The sequence below is a fragment of the Homo sapiens genome, chromosome 6, assembly GCF_000001405.40.
Source record: "Homo sapiens chromosome 6, GRCh38.p14 Primary Assembly".
Lineage (NCBI taxonomy): Eukaryota > Metazoa > Chordata > Mammalia > Primates > Hominidae > Homo > Homo sapiens.
The window spans coordinates 147986880-148007713 of NC_000006.12; the positions used below are offsets into that span (position 1 = coordinate 147986880).

Genomic DNA, 20834 nt, shown 5'->3' on the forward strand with positions numbered 1-20834 from the left:
GATTTTCTTTAAACACTTCTAGGAATCTTCCGCTTTTTATTCTTCCAAACCCTGGCTCCTCTCCCCAGCCCACTCTCCCAATCCAGATACATATTTTTCTTTAAAAAAATTTTTTTGAAAGAGAACTGCCAAAGAGTTGACACTTGGCATGTGGTGATTCAAAAAATACACTGTCCCTTCTCACCACCCCTGATGTCTTTATCTGACAAAATCCATATGCTGTATGATCACCATGGCAACTAAGTAGGGTTGTAATTGCAACCCTGGAAAGCCCGTGGTGGTTTTTTTTTTTTTTTTTCACTCAAATTGTGGCATACGTTTAACCTCTCTCAAGTTTCAACAAACCATCTTTTAAATGACAAGGGTTGAGAAAAGTCTAATTTAGTCTGTTTGTTAGAAGGCGCATTTCTTCCTTTTTTAACTTAATAAACTAGCTTTAAAAGGAGGTGGGGGGAGTGGGAGAGGCTGCAATATTTTCTGACCTCACCTTACAAAATTATACCTGGTCATTTTATAACAATAAAATCTAAATGTATGACACTTCTGGAGAGTACACAGACAGTGTCTTCAGACTGTGTAGTGAGAATCAAGCAAGGCTCCGTGGCGGTACAACGGCAGACACAAAAGGATCTTAAGGCCCAGGTTCCAAACCTTTGCCTTCCACCTGCCATCGAGAAAATGCTGCCTCCCCTGTGACCAAAGGCATGAATATTCAAACTAGAGGGCTACTAAATTAGTTTCTCATTAAAAAAAATTTTAGCTCAGGTGAGTTTTCTTCTTTACTTCTGTTCACAGTAGTTTCTATAGAGGCTGCATTTTGTTCTTCTAAATAGAGGAAGCATGACTTTTGGAAAGATACGTGGGCCCAGTCATGCGATCCCATGGGATGTGAGAGTAATAAAGTGTCTGGTGAGGAAACGTGAAGAGCCTAGTTCTGCTCAGCCAAGCATGGTAGGTATTATGCCCAGGAGTCTATCCTGTAGCTACCTGAAACTTCATGGTGTTGAAGAAAAAGCACAGGAATGGAATTCAAAGGACTTGGATTCTAGTTCTGGCTCAATTCCTTTCTAGTTGTGTGACCATAACTCAGCATTGTGCAAATGCACGGTTTGGCAGTATGAGCTCTGTATACCTTTGAATCCACTCCTGCCCGGTCTGCCTGGAGGACGTAAAGAGAGTCTGGCATGAACCTATCTGCTTGAGGGACAAGAAACGTTCAGGGAAAGCCCCAACCTGAAACAAGGGAAGACAAGACAGCCCAGCATGGGTTGTCAGCAAGAGTAAGCAGGAAACAGAGGGGAGATCTTGAATCCAGCAAATCAGTGAGTGCATCTTCCTCCCCACTTCCCGACACCCATCCCAGGCATGATAGGACCCCTACCATAGTGCACCAGACAGCAGAGGCTGTGGCCAACAATGTAAACCAAGAGAAGAGCCTTTTTCCTAGGGTGACGACACCCATGAGATATTAGTCCGTTTTCACACTGCTATCAAGAGCTACCCGAGACTGGGTAATTTATAAGGAAAAGAGGCTTAATTGAATCACAGTTCTGCAGACTTAACAGAAAGCATGACTGGGAGACATCAGGAAATTTACAATCATGGCAGAAGGCAAAGGGAAAGCCAGGGCCTTCTTCTCATGGTTGCAGGAGAGAGAGTGTGAGCGAGCGGGGAACTGCCACTCACTTTTAAATCATCAGATCCAATGAGAACTTACGAACACAAGAACAGCATGGGGGAATGGCCCCCATAATCCAGTCACCTCACACAAGATCCCTCCCCCGACATGGGGATTACAGTTTGAGATGAGATTTGGGTGGGGTCACAGAGCCAAACCATATCACTTGATTTGCCTGGGATAACCTTGTCTTAGATGCCTATTGTCCTGGCATCATTATCAATAGCTCCTTCCCTTCATTATCAAAAGTGCTCAGATTTAGGTGTTAAAGTATGTGGTCACCTGCTTTTTGGAGATATTTCTGTGAGTTGAAGAAAGCCAGGAGGTGGTGCCACTTTGTAGAATGTGTCACCATGTAGCTCCCAGGGTAGAACTGAGGAACCCTTCCTTGCTGAGGTGCCTGAAACAGATGCAGAGTGCTGAGTGGAGAACTCAGACTGTTCAGACTGGGGACGCAGAGCAGAATTGTGGGCTGGTAGCACCGGAAACATCATCACAACCCACAGAGTGGAGCCCAGGAGATTGGCCATGCGAGGGATGACTGAAAGGCCTGTGCATGGGAGAACATGTATAAGACACCCCACAAACCCCTGAATGTAAGGGGAAACTGAGTGGAGGCAGAGATCCGTGGTTTTGCTATTGGAAAGTGGCGGGGTTGTTGACCACATCTTTCCCAGCCTAGGGGACTGTCAAGCTCATCCCTTCATGCCCCCCAGGTGCATGTGGAGGTGTGTGCAGTGTAGGAATAGCATAGGAGCAGCGGCACAGGCTTCACATCACTCTTGGACTTTCAAGTGATGCTCCCAGTGGAGGTCTTTCATCAGGCCCAGCCCCCAACCTCATTCTAGGCAATGTGTCCTTTCTGGCGGTCAGTTCCTAAGGACCTTCTGGTGGTCCCTTTACTTCTCCCTCCCAGTCTCCTGCCCACAACGCCAGTGAGAGATCAGGGTTACAGGAAACAGTTTCCCTTTCCTGCCTCTGATTTCCTCTCATCTAGACACTCTATCTAAACTCAAGAATTCCTTTTCCCTATGGCCTTATATTTCATCAAAATATACATATAAAGTAGAAATATTTTATACTTTTTGTTTTATTATATACTTAAATGTATGTATGTGTATCTTATTTTTTATTAATATTTATATTGAAATATAAATTTATTTAAAATGTGAAGACAAATTCTGGACATACTCTCCACCTACCCTCATGACTCCCTAAAACACAGAGCCAACTTCCTGTTTAAATGGAAGAAAGAGAGATGGAAAATTATAAGGAGAAAAATAACACATTGATTTCCCATAACAAATTACCAGAAACAAAGTGACTTTAAAACAACACAAATTTATTATTTTTACATTTTGCAGGTCAGAAGTCTGGGTGGGTGCAGATGATTCCTCTGCTCTGGGTCTCACGAGTCCAGAATCAAGGTGTTGGCCACCCTAGCCTCTTATATGGAAGCTTGTGGGTGTGGCAGGGGAGGATCTGCTTCTAGGTTCATTCAGGCTATTGGCGCCAATCAGTTCCATGTGGCCATAGGTCCCTCTTTCCATCCTAGCTGTCAGCTGGATGTCATTCTCTGCCTTTAAAGGCTGTTGGTCCCCAGCTCATAGCCCCTGTAATGGTTAATTTTATGTATCAACTTGACTGAGTAACAGGGCACCCAAATATTTGGCCAGACATCATTCCAGGTGTTTCTATGAGAATCGTATTGGATGCGCTTAGCATTTGAATCAATAGTCTTAGTAAAGCAGATGGCCCTCCCTAATGAGGGTGGGCCTCATCCAATCAGTGGAAGGCCTAAAGAGAACAGAAGACTGACCCTCTCCAAAGTAAGAAAGAATTCCTCCTGCCTAATGCCTTAGAAATAGGACATGGGCAAAGACATCATGACTAAAACACCAAAAGCAATTGCAACAAAAGCCAAAATGGACAAATGGGATCTAGTTAAACTAAAGAGCTTCTGCACAGCAAAAGAAACCATCATCAGAGTGAACAGGCAACCTAAAGAATAGGAGAAAATTTTTGCAATTTATCATCTGACAAAGGTCTAATATCTAGAGTCTACAAAGAACTTAAACAAATTTACAAGAAAAAACAACCCCATCAAAAAGTGGTTGAAGGATATGAACAGACACTTCTCAAAATAAGACATTTATGCCCCCAAGAAACATATGAAAAAAAGCTCATCATCACTGGTCATGAGAGACATGCAAATCAAAACCGCAGTGAAATACCATCTCATACCAATGAGAATGGTGATTATTAAAAAGTCAGGAAACAACAGATGCTGGTGAGGCTATGGAGAAATAGGAATGCTTTTACACTGTTGGTGGGAGTATAAGCTAGTTCAACCATTGTGGAAGACAATGTGGCAATTCCTCAAGGATCTAGAACCAGAAATAACCATTTGACCCAGCAATCCCATTACTGGGTATATATCCAAAGGATTATAAATCATTCTACTATAAAGACACATGTACAAGTATGTTTATTGCAGCACTATTTACAATAGCAAAGACTTGGAACCAACCCAAATGACCATCAATTGTAGACTGGATAAAGAAAATGTGGCACATGTACACCATGGAATACTATGCAGCCATGAAGAAGAATGAGTTCATGACCTTTGCAGAGACATGGATGAAGCTGGAAACCATCATTCTCAGCAAACTAACACAGGAACAGAAAACAAAACGTCGCATGTTCTCACTCATAAGTGGGAGTTGAACAATGAGAACACATGGACACAGAGAGGGGAATATCACACACTGGGGCCTGTCAGGAGGTTGGAGGCAAGGGGAGGGAGAGCATTAGGAGAAATACCTAATGCATTCAGGGCTTAAAACCTAGATGACAGGTTGATAAGTGCAGCAAACCACCATGGCACATGTATGCCTATGTAACAAACCTGCACGTTCTGCACGTGTATCCCAGAATGTAAAGTAAAAGAAAAAAAAAAAAAGAAAGAAAAAAGACATGGGTTTTTTTTTCTTGCATGCAGACTCAAACTAAAATACTGGCTCTTCCTGTGTCTCTAGCTTGCCAACTCACTCTGCAAGTCTTGGGACTTGTCAGCCTCCATAATTATTTAAGCTGATTTCTTATAATAAATCTCTCTTCATCTTCAAAGCCTGCAACAGTGGGCTGTAGTCCCTTTCACATGTTGAATCTCTTTCACTTCCTTTTCTGATGAATCTTTCTTTGCTTACAAATGGAGAAAGTTCTCTGCTTTTAAGGCCTTATGTGATTAGATTGGTTCCTCCCAATAATCTCCCTATTTTAAAGTCCAAAGCCTTAATTTCATCTGCAAAGTCTCTTTCCCTATATAATACAGCATAACCAAGGTGTATCAACAGAGAGTATGTCACAGGAGCCAAGATTCTGATTACCCGCAACTTAGTATCTCAAGAGTAGCCAGCTACACTACCCTTCTTGTAGCTCCTTGTTCAACCCCAGCCAAAGGGGAAACCCTGAAGAAACAAGTGAAGAAATATAAAATGGAAAACACCCAAAGCACATGCTGAGGTGAGGATCAAATAAGGATGGTTGAAGAGTTCAGCGGAGAGTGTTGAAACTTTGCATACAAAACAGGCGGTGTAGAGCCACATCCCTACAGCCCTTGTCTAATGTTTGCATAATCCCTTCTCAGAGGAGGCCACCGCAGTCCCTTAGCAGTCACAGATGTTATAGAGAGCAGCCAGGAGCAAAAAACACAGTCCTCATTCTTAAAGGACCAGCCTAGGAAGAGAATGGGAAGACAGAGCAGAGGAATGAATCAGAAACCAGCAAGACATAGGAGAGAAGTGGTGCCAGATTGGGAATGATGTTTACTGAGTCTTCGATGTCTTTTCTTTTTTTCTTTTAATTTTTTTTTTGGTGATGTATAAATTTAAATGCACAGAGTGAGCGTGAATATGAGCGTATATGACATCCCAATTAACCTTGGTGACTCTCTAGCACTGAGAAGCCACTTTAACCTTAATGCCAGCTGGTGACCTTGCCCTGAATCTTCAGAAATTGCTCCCCTAGCTGGACCGGGTGTCCTCAGCTGCCATGAAGTTGCTGGGGCAAACTGGTAGGAGACAGTGGAGCTGAAAGAGGAGAGGGGATGATAGACAGAAATCTTGGAGCAATATCCACGTTCTTTAACTCAAATTGACTACATAAACTAGAAGCTTGAAAGTAGAGGTCAATGTGTTCTCAGGACAGTTATTAAAATTGTATTCTCAGTCTTCTCCCATCCAGTATTGCAAAGCTGTTTTTGTAGTAAAGAAAGCAATTCATGTTTCATATCTGCTGTCATTATAAAAGAAGTCACAGCTACAAGTCTAGACTTTTATGTTTATTTCAAAAGGACTTGTCCTTATGAAATAATCATTGTTTTATGCCAGCTCTGCTTTATTGATCTACTATGTACCTGAAATTATTTAGATCAGGGAAATAAGACTTTCTTCTCTTTCCAGCATGCAGGGAAAAATTGTCCTAGACTCCTGAGAATATTATAAACATCTGATATTAGAAACACATTGGAGTTATATTTTTTATTTATTAAGTTCAGTTTCATATATGCCCCATATTGAAAGATTTTACTACTTCCCTCATTAAGAAAAAAAGTTATACCTTCAATTGTGAGTCATTTTTGTTTCTACAAAGTAAGAAGGAAAAAGAGAGGGCAAAGTGAAGGAGGAGGAAAAGGAGGAAGAGGAAGAAGAGGGGAGTAAAGAGAAGGGAGAGGGAGTAAAGAAAGGGAGGAGGGAAAGATGCAAGGAGAGAAAGAGACAGGGAAGGAAAAAGAAAAAGGAGAAGAAATTATTTATAGTTATCTGGATTTTATAGTTCTCCTGTGAGCTGGTGGTCCATATGAGGAAGCAAAGGGGTTAAAAAATTTATGGCAATGATTGTGGAGTCACCAGTTAGTGAGCACTGGCCTGGAGGGAAAATTCTTATATTCTCTAGCCTCAGCTTTTAATGGCACTTCCATGATTCATTGTCTTATAACCAAATAATTTTGGGGGAAGTTCATGGCAGATGTCCTTGGCTATAAATGATTTTTATATGCTCTAGGAATCACTTCTTTTTATCTGTCTTACAGATGAAAATGTAAAGTGTAGCTTTCAGGTGCTAATGTACTACATTCGTTAATATTGATAGGAAGGTAAGCCCTCTGTGACTCAATATTAACCTTTAATATTTATTTTATTACTTATGCAAGATAATTTAAAGACCCATATTTTCTGTTGATGAGTGTGAATTGCACTTTTTTCTTGCTTTGCCTTCCTAAGACTATCTGGCTGTTGTCAGAAAGGGTAGCCAGTTCTATTGGGGTGTGAGAAGGAGGCCTCTGCATGAGAAGCCCGTGTTGGCTGATTTATGTTTAATGCTTTCTCCAAACACTACAATTCACCCAAATTAGATTTTGAACATATTTTTTGCCCGATGTGAAGTATCTCCTTTTTTTTGGTTACTTGCTGGAACAGAATTCTAAACTGTTACCCTTTCAATGTCTCCCAATGTTTCTTCAGAGGTTTTTTATGTATTGAACAAAAAGTTTTCAATCCAGGTCAGAAGGATCATTTCTTATGTCATCTCCTAAGAGTTTTATAATTTTGCATTTTACTCTAAGTCTTTAATACACCTGAAATTGATTCTTATTTATGGTATAAGGTAAACATCTAATTCCATTTTTTAAATGACCCATTTAAAAGTTAGTCCCAGATTATTTATTGAAAATTTGCAGACCCAGAAATAAAGCCACACATCTACCAGCATCTGATCTTTGATGAAGTTAACAAAAATAAGCAATGAGGAAAGGACACCCACCCAATAAGTGGGCGCTGGGATTACTGGCTAGCCATATGCAGAAGAATGAAACTAGATGCCTATCTATCACCATATGCAAAAATTAACTCAAGATAGATTAAAGACTTAAGCTTCAGACCTAAAATTATAAAAATCCTAGAAGAAAACCTAGGAAATACCCTTCAGGACATTGGCCTTAACAAAGAATGTATGACTAAGTCCCCAAAAGCAATTGCAACGCAAATGAACTTTGAGGCCGTGTGCGGTGGCTCACACCTGTAATCCCAGCATTTTGGGAGGCCAAGGTGGGTGGATCACCTGAGGTCAGGAGCTCAAGACCATCCTGGCCAACATGGTGAAACCCTGTCTCTACTAAAAATACAAAAATCAGCCGGGAGTGGTAGTGCATGCCTGTAATCCCAGCTACTCGGGAAGCTGAGGTGGGAGAATCGCTTGAACCTGGGAGGCAGAGGTTGCAGTGAGCCGAGATCACACCATTGCACTTTAGCCTGGGTGACAGAGTGAGACTCCACCTCAAAAAAAAAAAAAGGAAAATTGACAATTGGGGCCTAATTAAACTAAAGAGCTTCTGCACAGAAAAAGAAACTATCAACAGAGTAAACAGACAACCTACAGAATTGGAGAAATATTTGCAGATTATGCATCCAACAATGGTCTACTATCTAGGATCTGCAAAGAACTTAAACAAATTAACAAGCAAAAAACAACCCCATTGAAAAGTGGGCAAAGCCGTTAACAGACGTTTCTCAAAAAGCCGTTAACAGACATACAAGCATCCAACAAACGTATGAACAAATGCTCACCGTCACAAATCATGAGTGAAATGCAAATCAAAACCACAATGGGATACCACCTCACACCAGTCGGAATGGCTATTACTAAAAAGTCAAAGAATAACATGTGTTGGTGAGGCTATAAAGGAAAGGAAACACATACACTGTTGGTGGGGATGTAGATTGGTTCAGCCAGCATGGAAAGCAGTTTGAACATCTCTCAAAGTACTAAAAATGGTGCTACCATTTGACCCAGCAGTCCCATTACTGAGTATATACCCCAAGGAAAATAAATCGTTCTACCAAAAAGACACATATACTCAAATGTTCATTGCAGCACTATTCACAACAGCAAAGACATGGAATCAGCCTCGATGCTCATCAGTAGTGAACTGGATAAAGAAAATGTGGTACATATGCACCATGGAATACTATGCAGCCATAAAAAGAATGAAATCTTGTCCCTCCCAGCAACATGGATGCAGCTGGAGGCCATAATCCTAAGCAAATTAATGCAGGAATAGAAAACCAAATAAAGCATGTTCTTACTTATACGTGAGAGCTAAACATTGGGTACACATGGACGTAAAGATGGAAATAATAGACCCTCAGGACTACCAGAGCAAGGAAGGAGGGAGAAGGGCCAGGGTTGAAAAGTACCCATTGGGTACTATGCTCAGTACCTGGATGACCAGATCAATTGTACCCCAAACCTCAACAACAAGCAATATACTCATGTAACCAACCTGTAACCAACCTGCACATATACCCCCTGAATCTAAAATATAAATTAAATTTTTCTAAAAAGGGAAAAAGAAAAAAGTCATGTTCTGCCCATTGGTCAGCAGCAATAAGTCATATCTCCCAGGTTTATGCTCCCAAACCACACAATCTTAATCAAATGTTTCATCATAATCCCTGATTTCTGGTAAATTGAGTTCCCCACTCTTTGTTTTTTCTTTTTAAGATATATATTTTTTCTTGTCCTTTTGTTTCTCCATATACATTTTAGAATCAGTTTATTTTGTTCAACAAACAAACAGACAAAATCTGCCAGGATTTGGATTGGAATTGATTGATAGATCCATTTGTTAAAAATTAGCCTTATTATAATTTTGAGTCATCCTATTTCTGAACATGAGATATCTATTTTGGGGAGAGAGGAGTCTTTAAAGTTTTCAAATAAAGTTTTAAGATTTTTCTATAAAGTACCAAAGTAGCTGGATTTATTCTTAGGAAATTTATATTTTGATACTATTATAATAGTATCTTTTAAAACTAAATTTCCCAATGTATAGAAGAAATACAATTTATATTTAAATCCAAACAACTCTGAGGAACCCAAATTACCCAGGCCATTCACTTTCTTAATAATTGTAATACTTTTTCTGTAAATTCTGGGATATTTTGATATAGACCATCGTACAGTCAGCTAATAATGTTAATTTTATTTCTTCCCTTCTAATTCTTTTCTTTCTTTCTTACCTTACTGTGCTGTATCCACTTCCAGTTCCACACTTAATAGAAATTAATGTGGGTACTTTTTGATGTTCTTCATCTTAAAGGGACTATTTCTAACATATCACATTAAGTATAATGTTTAATTTATTCTGAGAGTCACATTTTTCCCATCTTCTCTAACATCATTTTGCTAAAAATCTGAATGTTACCCAACACTTTTTAATGAAATTATTGGGATCATCATGTTATTTTTCTGTTTTGATCTGCTAATATGATAAAATATATTAATAGATTGTCCTATGTTAAACTACCTTCGCACATCTGAGATAAACGCAACATGGTCATCATTTATGTTCTTTGCTGTATTCAGTTTGCTAATATATTTAAGATTTTTACATCTATTATGTATTAATTAGGCTAGAAACTAAGCTGCTATAACAAACAAAACCAACATATATAGCACACATAAGACAGACATTTACTTTTCTCTCTGGCACAGGTAATAGTCTGGAATAGGGGAGTGGTTTGTGGCTGGTAGAGTTGCCTTGTGTATTCAGTACTTAGCTTCCAAGTCATCATTATTTCTCTGCCAGTTCAAAGAAGGGCAGAGAGTCCTGAACAGTCTTCATAAAAAGACGACCAGGAAATTGCCCTCCCCCTACCCATTCATATCTCATTCACCCAAAGCTAACTCCATGGCTACAGATACCTGAAAGTCAAACAGAAAAATATTTTCTGTGGCGTGGTGTCCATGAACCCAGGTTGTATGAAGTTCTGTGTGAATGCCCATCACTAAAAGAAACAAAGGGCAACTTAAAGGTGGGAGATAGTTAACAGTTTCCAACACATATGGTCATGAGAAAGACTGAACTCTAATTTTGTTTGTTGTACTATCCTCAACTTGGGTTTTGACATGAAGATCATATTAGCTTCCACCCCACCCCCCACCAAAAAAAATTAGTTTGATAAATATTCCATCTCTTCCTACCCTTTGGTATAATGTGGGTGACTTTGTAACTTTAAAACAAATGCGGTAGGACTTATGAGTAATAAGTACTACCTGGTGTTTTCTTTATTTAATGATTCTGAATGCTCACTAGATACGATAATATAAGCCCTTCTATTTATTCTTGAGTCAGTTTTGGGGGATATTGAATATGTTTTGATATTCAACATCATCATTATAATTTTGTTTAAATATTCTCTAAATGTTATCACAATTTCTTCTGTAACCCTTGATGTTCTTTTTAGAAGAAGAACATTTCCATAAATGCAAAATTCAAAATACCATCTGTAGTATGCTACCTCTTGTATAAGAAGAGGAAATTAGAAAACCAGTCAGGTATCTGCTTTTAATTTCAAAAACAACACAGGAAAGATAAATCATCAATGTTTTACTTCAAAGAAGTTTGTCACCTACAAGTGGTAATGAGAAGCAGAGTGGAAAAAATTTGGAGAGAAGTGACATTTCTCTTAATATAGCTTTCTTGGTACAGTTTTTACTTTTGGAGGCATGTTAATGTTTTATATACTCAAAAGAATAAAATCAACTAGGTTGGGAAGGGAGGAAAAAATAAAGTTAAAAGCAAATAGAAACAAATTAACCTAATTTATTTCAAATGAATACTATAACCACACTGAAAGAAAATTTAAAAGAACTAAGTAACTCACGAAAACAGTATATGACTGTATATTGTCTGTCTAGGGAAAAGTCGTGGCACAAGAGCTTCAAACAAATCTGTCATTCTTTTTAGTTTATTTTGTTTTCTATGGTGGCATACATAAAGCAATTGTGAAACAATTTATGTTATGGGATCCAACAGGCAAGTAAGTGTGTCAATTTTGTTGGGAGCCAGGTTTGTCATTATGAAAGAAGGGACATACAAATATGTAATGAGGGTGAACAAGAAAGAACCCTGTGAGGCCAGATGCAGTGGCTCACGCCTATAATCCTAGCATTTTGAGAGGCCAAAGCGGGCAGATTGCTTGAGCTCAGGAGTTTGAGACTAACCCCAGCAACATAGTGAAAACTCATCTCTACTAAAAATACAAAACCTAGCCAGGCGTGGTGATGTGCACCTGTAGTGCCAGTAACTTATGGGGCTGAGACAGGAGGATTGCTTGAACCCAGGAGGTCAAGGCTGCAGTGAGCCAAGATCACACCGCTGCACTCCAGCCTGCATGACAGAGTGAGACCCTGTCTCAAAAAAAGAAAGAACCCTGTGGGATGGATTGGAATGTAGCAATCAGTGTAAATTCATAATTTCTACAATAAGCATACTTGTGTAGGTAATGCATGTAATATGAGCGTATGCATACATGTCTGTGTCCACATAGGTATATATTTGCCTGTGTGTATATATACGCAGATATTTTCTAGCTCTATTCAATAAAAAGGCCTAGAAACAAAGGCATCCCAGTAACTATGAACACACCTAGCACTCTAATCTTAGATTCTAATGCTGTGCCTCACTAAAAGAAACCATGGCTCTGTTGAACAAGGACTCACTACATTACTTTAAGAAGTAAACTCTGGGAAAAGAAAAACTTTTGACAAATTAAACTTAACAGAATTTATTTGAGCAAAAAATGATTCATGAACCAGGCAGCACTCAGAATCAGAAGAGGTTCAAAGAGCTCCACCCAGGAGCATGAGAAGTGAGCTTCCATAGGCTGAACATGGAAGCCAAGTAGAGAACACATCTGATTTGTTACAGCAAGGTGTTTGCCTTATTTGGATATGGTCTGATGAGTTGGCTGTCTGTGATTGGCTAAAGCACTGCTGCTTATGATTGGCTGAGACCTGTTTTTTTTTTTTTACATAAGTTAGACTCCTAAGTTAGATTCCAGTTTGTTTCAGTACTACCTTAGGTTGCAGTTTCTCTTTATTCTTTTTTTTTTTTTTTTTTTTTTTTTTGAGACCAAGTCTAGCTCTGTCACCCAGGCTGGAGTGCAGTGGCGCAATCTCGGCTCACTGCAACCTCTGCCTCCTGGTTCACATGGTTCTCCTGCCTCAGCCTCCTGAGTAGCTGGGATTACAGGTGCGTGCCACCACGCCCAGCTAATTTTTGTATTTTTAGTAGAGACGGGGTTTTACCATGTTGGTCAGGCTGATCTTGAATTCCTGACCTCGTGATCTGCCTGCCTCGGCCTCCCAAAGTGCTGGGATTACAGGCCTGAGCCACCATGCCCGGCCAGATTGCAGTTTCTTATACAGAAACTTAAAGTATGGAGACAGTCTTGGGCCAGTGGCCTCCTGCTTATTTAACAACTCTCAGTCATGTTTTTATTTGCAGGTTATTTGATTCGTCACTCCCCAACTCCATTGTTTTTAGAATATTATCTTTGTCTTTGGTATTGTGCAATTTTCTATCATGTATTTAGGTTTAACTGTATTTATTTATACTACTTAGTATAAATAGCACAAAATGGTATATAAATGTTACAAATACATATTTAGTGTAAAATGAGGAAATTAGTAATTAATTCTTCAAATGTTGCTTCTGCCCCATTTTTTCTTCTCTTTCTGGATTGCCAGTATGATACGCTTTTTACCTTCTCTGTTATCTGTTACTTGTTTTTTAGATTTCTCTTCTCTTTGTCTCCATTTTATTCTGGATAATTTCTACAGTTCTAGTTTCAAATTCATTAATTCTCTCTAAGCTACGTATAAAAACTCTTATTAACTGAATTTTTACTTCCAAAGACACTTTCTACAGTATCTTGTAGTTCTATTTGTTTGCTTCTTTTTCAAATATTTGCTCTTTTTTTAAAAAAGTCTCTTGATCTTTTTATTCATGTCTTCAAACTTGCTGGGAGTTTTTTTTACCTATTAAACATAATTATTTTACATTCTGTGCTTGACAATTCTAATACCTGAAAACTTGCAGATCTTATTTTACCCTGTTTTCTTACCTAATGCTTGTGCTCTTGCTGTGGTTTTGTGATTTTTTTCATTCAGTCTCATGAGGGGAGTGTAATTTCTGGTTCGCCCTACAGTATGCAGGTAGACAATTCAGATGCCTCCTATTGCAGGATCTCATATGGGAGATCTTGGATGAACTCTGGCTTTCTTTGTCTTCTGCTCTGTACATTTCATTAATTTGTGAAAATGGATGCTAAGTTTCATTCTGATGGTAAATTCCCTTGAAACCAAGGTCATCTTTAGTGCTTGGCTTACCTTTTTGGGTTCTTGCTTTAACTTGGTTTTGACCTTTCAGTCATAAAGTATTTTTAGGATTTTATTTTGAATTTTTAGTTGTTTTCAACAGGAGGGTTAGTCAAGATATCTGGCCCACCATACAGTTGGAAAGAAATTTTACAAGTCACCTGTATATATTTTAGTCAACCTTATATATTTATGGTTTATACATTATTTTATTTTAAAAAAACTTAAAATGTACAGATAAAATACCACCTTACCTAACATGTTCATGTCACATTGAAGAAAGAGTAGCAATATCAGGGCCAGATCTCACTTCTCCCAACCCCTGCTTTAACGTCTTTCTACAACCAAGGAGTTGGCAATAAGAAGGGGTTAGGAGGGAGGTGTTAATCCAGGGCCTGAGATTTAATGCCATTGTAAGTGGAGATTGTGAACATAATGCTCCTGGGCATGTGGACACACCTTCTGTCCCTGTGCAACTTCTGCTGCCTTGAAACTCTCAGACCCAATTTTCATTCTAGGTGCTTTCTTAAGACAAACCCTCAGTCTGGGAAATTCACCAAAACTCGGTTTCACGTACAAACATACACTTGATTTCCACCAATGATAATATTTGGTTAGACTCACTTTTACATTAAATATGTATATCTCTAGCATGAAACAATGTAAATCATAATTAAATAATATTTTCTGATGATTCTGTGTGCATCATTGTCTTTAACAAATGTGTATTACCCATTGAATGGTTGTGTCATAGTTTGACCAGCATTTTGTTTTTAGTACATTCATGTTGCTTCCAGCTCTTTTCCCTTACAAACTGAGCCTCTGTGAATGCCTCTGTACTTCATCTTTACTTAGTATCTTTAATTATTTGCTCAGGATAAATTCTCAGAATTTAAATTGTGAGGTCATAGGGCATGCGTATTTTTAAGGCTTGATAGGTCCTACCCACATGGCTCTCTGAGGAGCTGTGCGAGTTTACCTTCGACGATGGCCCACAGAAACGTAGTGATGGTGGCTGGCTTTTTAAAGGTGATGTATTCAGAGCTGATCCTTTGATTAATTTCTAACAAAAAATTTTCACAAGATTTTTTTGTCTGGCTCTTTCCCTAGTCTAAAATTTATGAAAGGTATGGTATAGCACTCTCAGTATTATGCCTGCTTAAAGATCTTACAAAATATCCAGGCTTCCCTTTTCCTTTCACTTTATAAAAATTTAGTATCTGAGAGTTACTGCAGTTTCTCAAATTACAGACACATCTTTGCTTTGACAAAACCCTAACCGTCACATGCTGACTAGCAGTCTGTGGTATTTTCATAATTAATTTGAACTAAATAGCCGTGTCACAGTAAATGCACAGACTATTTTCCTATTGTTATCTCCTCGACTTATCGTTTGTCCACAGATCCACTGGTGTTAATTCATAGTGAGAACCCTGTCACTAATGTGCTCTAGCAAAAGTATAGCTTTTCCGACACTAATTCTGCTTGGATCTGGTCACGTGAGAATCCAGGGATATGATTTCTAGCAGATAACATTGAAATATTGATCTTATAAAGTAAACTGGAGGCTGGCCACACAGCATGGTTTTAAATTTGTTTCCCCTTAATAGGAGACAGGTTTTTTGTTCATTAGATCTCTTGCTGTCCTAGGGTTAGACCCCACTGCCTAGCTCCTCCTGCTGTTGTGATTATGCTGTGTAAAATGACATTTCTACATAAAGAGCTTTTGGCTGGGGGCAGCATACCAGCTAGTGTAGATTTGAAATGGCTATTTCTTTCTCACCATGAATGGAAAGATATTTTAAGCATATGTAACTCCTGCACGAGCTAACATCTGTCAATTGCACCATGTACAACTTCATCAGCTGGGAATTAAAACCCATTCATAATACTCCTGTTTGCAAACTTCTGTCTTTGAGGTTATTGAGGCTGTACATTCTACTGCAAAAGAAGAAAGGGCTAGGATGCCAAAGAGAGCCTCAAATTTTAAAGTTAATAGTTGAAAATTGCATGGGGGTGGGAATTGCATGAAAGCCAGTTTTCTGAGTAGAAGTTGGGAAACTTGGATGTGGAACCTGTTCAAATCATTCCTGATCTTATCAAAGCTTATCTTTTCTTAAACATTGGAAGGATTTTTTGGGTGGTTTATGTTGTTTATTTGGTTACAATGAGGACCTTTCATAAAGATTTTATGTTGACTTTCCTTGTGGATTTCAGCCTAACAATATCGAAAATATTAAATTTAGAGGGGATCGATCTCATAAAAACTGAGTCAGAAAAAGGAGGCCAATTATTACTCTTAATTTGGTATGAAATTGTAACCAGACTCATAAATATCTATGTGACCTATAAAAAAGAAGCATAAAAAGGAACAAAATAATGGCATTCGCAGCAAGCTGGAGTTGGAGACCATTTTTTGTTTGTTTGTTTGTTTGAGACGGAGTCTCGCTTTGTTGCCTGGGCTGGAGTACAATGGCATGATCTTGGCTCATTGCAACCTCTGCCTCCTAGGTTCAAGCAATTCTTCTGCCTCAGCCTCCCGAGTAGCTGGGACTACAGGCGAGCACCACCACGCCTGGGTAATTTTTGTATTTTTAGTAGAGACAGGGTTTCACCATATTGGCCAGGCTGGTCTCGAACTCCTGACCTCGTGATCCACCCGCCTCGGCCTCCCAAAGTGCTGGGATTACAGGCGTGAGCCACCGCACCAGGCCAGAGACCATTGTTCTAAGCTAAGTAACTCAGGAATGGAAACCCAAAAATCATATGTTCTCACTTATAAGTGGAGCCAAGCTATAAGGACACAAAGGCACAAGAATGATGTAATAAACTTTGGGGACTTGGGAGGAAGAGTGGGAAGGGGGTGAGGGATCAAAGACTACACATTGGGTACAGTGTACACTGGGTGACAGGTGCACCAAAATCTGAGAACTCACCACTAAAGAACTTTTCAATGCAAACAAACAACAACTGTTCCCCAAAACTATTGAAATTTTTTAAAAAAAGAAAAAGCAAAGAGAGAATTTACCCACTGAGAACAAGATTTTAGAGAATCTGCTTCTGCAATTTTTTTAATAATTTCAACTTTTAGTTTAGATTCAGGGAGTATGTGTGCAGGCTTGTTATCTTGGCATAGTATTTGTGTAATTATATGTTTTTATTGTAGAACTGAAGTCTATACTTTTGTTGTTGTTCTTTGGAAGAAATTGAATAGTTGGAATTTTCAGAGCAAGCTTGTAGAATTGATTTAGGTAATACTCAAAAATTAGAACAACGCAGGAGATTAACCTGTGAGATTTGTTTAAGCTGCGGATTTTGGGGTGCCATCTCTCATGATTCTAATCTGATATACCATGAGTGGAGCCAAAGAATCTACCTTTCCAGCAAGCACTCCCCAAAATTCTGATTTGGGTGGTCCGCGTAACAGAGAAACACTATAAAAACACAGTCTTACAAAGATTAAAATTAAGGAAAAGAGAAGCCATTTTGTAGAATATATAAATGAAGAGTCTTGTTTTACTATATAATTTATTTTTATAATAAAGGGATGTTGTCAGAGTGCTGATTCCTTAAGCAGCAAAGCGGATGACACTGTGAAAAGTATGTATGTTCCAGGGCCAGAGTTTCTTTAAAGACCACTCCTGCCTGGGACTCAGTGGTCACTCGACTGTCATCATCCTGCCTTGTAACTCTTTGCCCTCCCCTCTAAATGGGAAAATCAAAAATAGCAGAACCTTTCTACCATCTGGAGACACTGAATATAAGGCAAAACAATCATGAAGTTGTTTTGTAAATCTAAATTGGTGTCATTAGATTCAACACTCGGAGAAGGCTTAGTTCTCTCCAATTTGTCAAATGTAATACACCATAATCACAAGTGTGCAGACTTTAAAGTCAGACTCTAAACTAGATAACTGTAGCCTCTTAGAAGTCTTGAAGGGTAATGCTAGGTCACAGTCACGTTACATGTAAACTAACCCTGAAAGATATCTTAAAGCCTGTTAGAAAAAGAAATTTCACAGCTTTACTTGGCAGTTGTGTGCATTAGGGCTTGAAATCTTTCAGCAGAATTCAGCGTTCCTACTCCAAGCTGTCTAAGCCACATTCTATAGCCTATGCTTGGGAAAAAGGCAAAAACTGCTCACCACGACTCACACTATCCTTGCATAGACTGAAAAGTGTTAAGCTTTCTCTTGTTCTTGTTGTTGTCTTAATGCCAAATATAAAGCCAATTCCTTTGGCCTTCTCACATAAGGCCTCAAGAAATATACCATGTGTATGCATTTTATCCCTTGCTTTTTTCATTCTAGGCATTAAGATGTAATTTGATGGTGACAATGGCTGTTACTCGTGAAATATTTCTTTAAACTTTGCTTTGATTGTCAAGTAAATGTTCTTGCACACCTTTTTAAAGCCTACTAAAAATTTGTCAGGAAATTTCCTCATTAGTTTTATAGTGTAACTGTGGCAGACCAATTTCATCTCCCTGGTCCTCAGTTTCCATCCAATAAGGGACTTGAACTAGATGCTGCTGATTTTGTTCTTTATGAGCTCTTGAAATTATTTACTGTAGAAATCGGATGGGCTTAACCCAGAGTAATTCTATGGCAGTGAAGGACTCTTTTTTTTTTTAAAATAATCTTCATTGGTTCCTTGCCCTTTTTGTTTTTTCTAACATCAGATACTCTCTTCTGATGATGAACTTAATCTCTTGTCAGGGAAAGGAAAGAGGAGGAGGGGAAGGAAGGAAGAGGGCAAAGGAGAGTAGGAGGGAGGGAGAGTAGAATGGAAAGCAGTGATCCCCAACCTTTTTGGCACCAGGGACCAGTTTTATGGAAGACAGTTTTTCCATGGACCAAGAGTGAGGGGGATCGTTTCAGAATGACTCAAGTGTATTGCATTTATTGTGTGCTTTATTTCTGTTATTATTCTATTGTAACATAAAATGAAATAATTATACAACTCACCATAATGTAGGAGCCCTGAGCTTGTTTTCCTGCAACTAGATGGTCCCATTTGGGGGTGATGGGAGACAGTGACAGATCATCAGGCATTAGATTCTCATAAGGAGCATGCACCCTAGGACAGTTCACAATAGGGTTCACACTCCTAGGAGAATCTAATCCCACAGCTGATCTGACAGGAGACAGAGCTCAGGCAGTAATGTGAGCGATGGGGAACAGCTGTAAATACAGATGAAGCTTCATTCACTTGCCCACCACTCACCTCCTGCTGTGCGGCCTGGTTCCTAACAGACCATGGACTGGTATCAGTCCATAGCCTGGGGGTTGGTGACACCTGATGGGAAGGAATAGAATGAGAAATAGAGAGGGGAGGAATAGAAAGAAGGAAAGAAGGCCGGGCACAGTGGCTCACGCCTGTAACTCCAGCACTTTGGGAGGCCAAGGCGGGTGGATCACGAGGTCAAGAGATCGAGACCATCCTGGCTAACATGGTGAAACCCCATCTCTACTAAAAATACAAAAAATTAGCTGGGCGTGGTGGCGCACGCCTGTAGTCCCAGCTACTTGGGAGGCTGAGGCAGGAGAATCACTTGAACCTGGGAGGCAGAGGTTGCAGTGAGCTGAGATTGTGCCACTGCACTCCAGCCTGGTGACAGAGTGAGACTCCATCTCAAAAAAGAAAAAAGAACAAAAGAAGGAAAGAAAATATAGCCAGAAATAACAGCAAGGAGTAGGTACCCCAGATGCACAGTTAAAAATTAGACTTACCTTGTTTGTGGCGCCTGGTGTACTCTTTGCCTGAGGGGCTAATAAAACATGGTGCATTGAATCCAAGTTTCCCAGGCTCCTCATGGTTTTGGGACCTCACTCACTCTCCTGGTTTCTCCTGAAATATTTGATGGCTGCATGCTGTTTCTTTGGATGTTCCTTTATTGAGCATTCATTTTCATTGACAGATTCAAATTTCATAGCCTTAATTGCCTGCATTAGTAGTCTGGTAAGATGTTTTTCTTTATCACTGTTCCACCTCTCTCAATGGAGAAACCTGGGGGCTTTGTTGGAGGCTGTGCGTGTGGAGTTCTCGGTGTAGCCTTTGAAGAATGCATCTTGATTTAAACCTCCTTGATGTTCCCATGGATTTAAAAAGATACTCAGATTGCAATTCCCTGTTGCAGGATATAGAAAAGGAGCTTCCTAATCTATGTGCTCTTCCTGACACAGTGGAAGCCTTTGTCAGGGATGGCAGGAGAGCTGAAGATTGCATGGACGGGAATGTCTGCAGATCTCAGCAATATGCCACTTCCTGCTCGGCCTGTAGAGGGTTATGCCAGTGCCTTCTAACTTCAGGATGTTAAGAACTGATTCTGAAGGACAGCTTACTCTTTGGTATGAAATCAATTAGAATTCCTCAAATAGGCTGACAGTTCCTATCACCTGCCATCAGGTGACCGTGTTTACTGAGAATTCTCGACATGAACCTCAGGAAACGTACATGAATCAACATGCTGATGGACGAGCATGGGACCCCCCTGCTTCTCACCCAAGAAGGTCACTCTCTGACTGTGACTTGACTGCTGCAGCCCCGTTCTAAGTATCTTCTCTGGGACAATCAGGCATTTGTTAGTTGACCTAATTCCCTGAGGACTCACGAAAGAAAACAAACTGGACCCCACATAGGCCCAGGTAGCCTCACACATTCTTTCTATAACCAGTATTAGAAGCCAGAAAGAACTTCCTGGAAAAAGATGCTCTTATGGGTGGAAAATTATTTCTTCTCTATTCTTACTGGTATTTTCCTCCTTTGGTTTCTAAAAACTAATGCTGCTATGATTTGTGTTGAAGGGTTGTATTTGTGTCCACATGCTCAATATTTGAAAACCTGGTTGCCTATTATACCGTAATCCAACAAAATAGATTCTATTAAGATCTTAAGATGTGGTAAATGTAAAGTTTCTTGTCTCAGCAAGAAG

At 39.5% G+C, this 20834-nt stretch overlaps 1 long non-coding RNA gene across 1 annotated transcript in view; it reads left to right on the plus strand.

Annotated features, from left to right (window-relative positions):
- The first annotated feature begins 299 nt into the window (after positions 1-299).
- The window catches only part of LOC124901423 (uncharacterized), a 39155-nt gene continuing 18620 nt past the window's right edge, over positions 300-20834 (plus strand). The window contains exon 1 of the long non-coding RNA XR_007059804.1: positions 300-14929. This is a non-coding gene — a long non-coding RNA (uncharacterized LOC124901423). The remainder of the gene's footprint in view (positions 14930-20834) is intronic.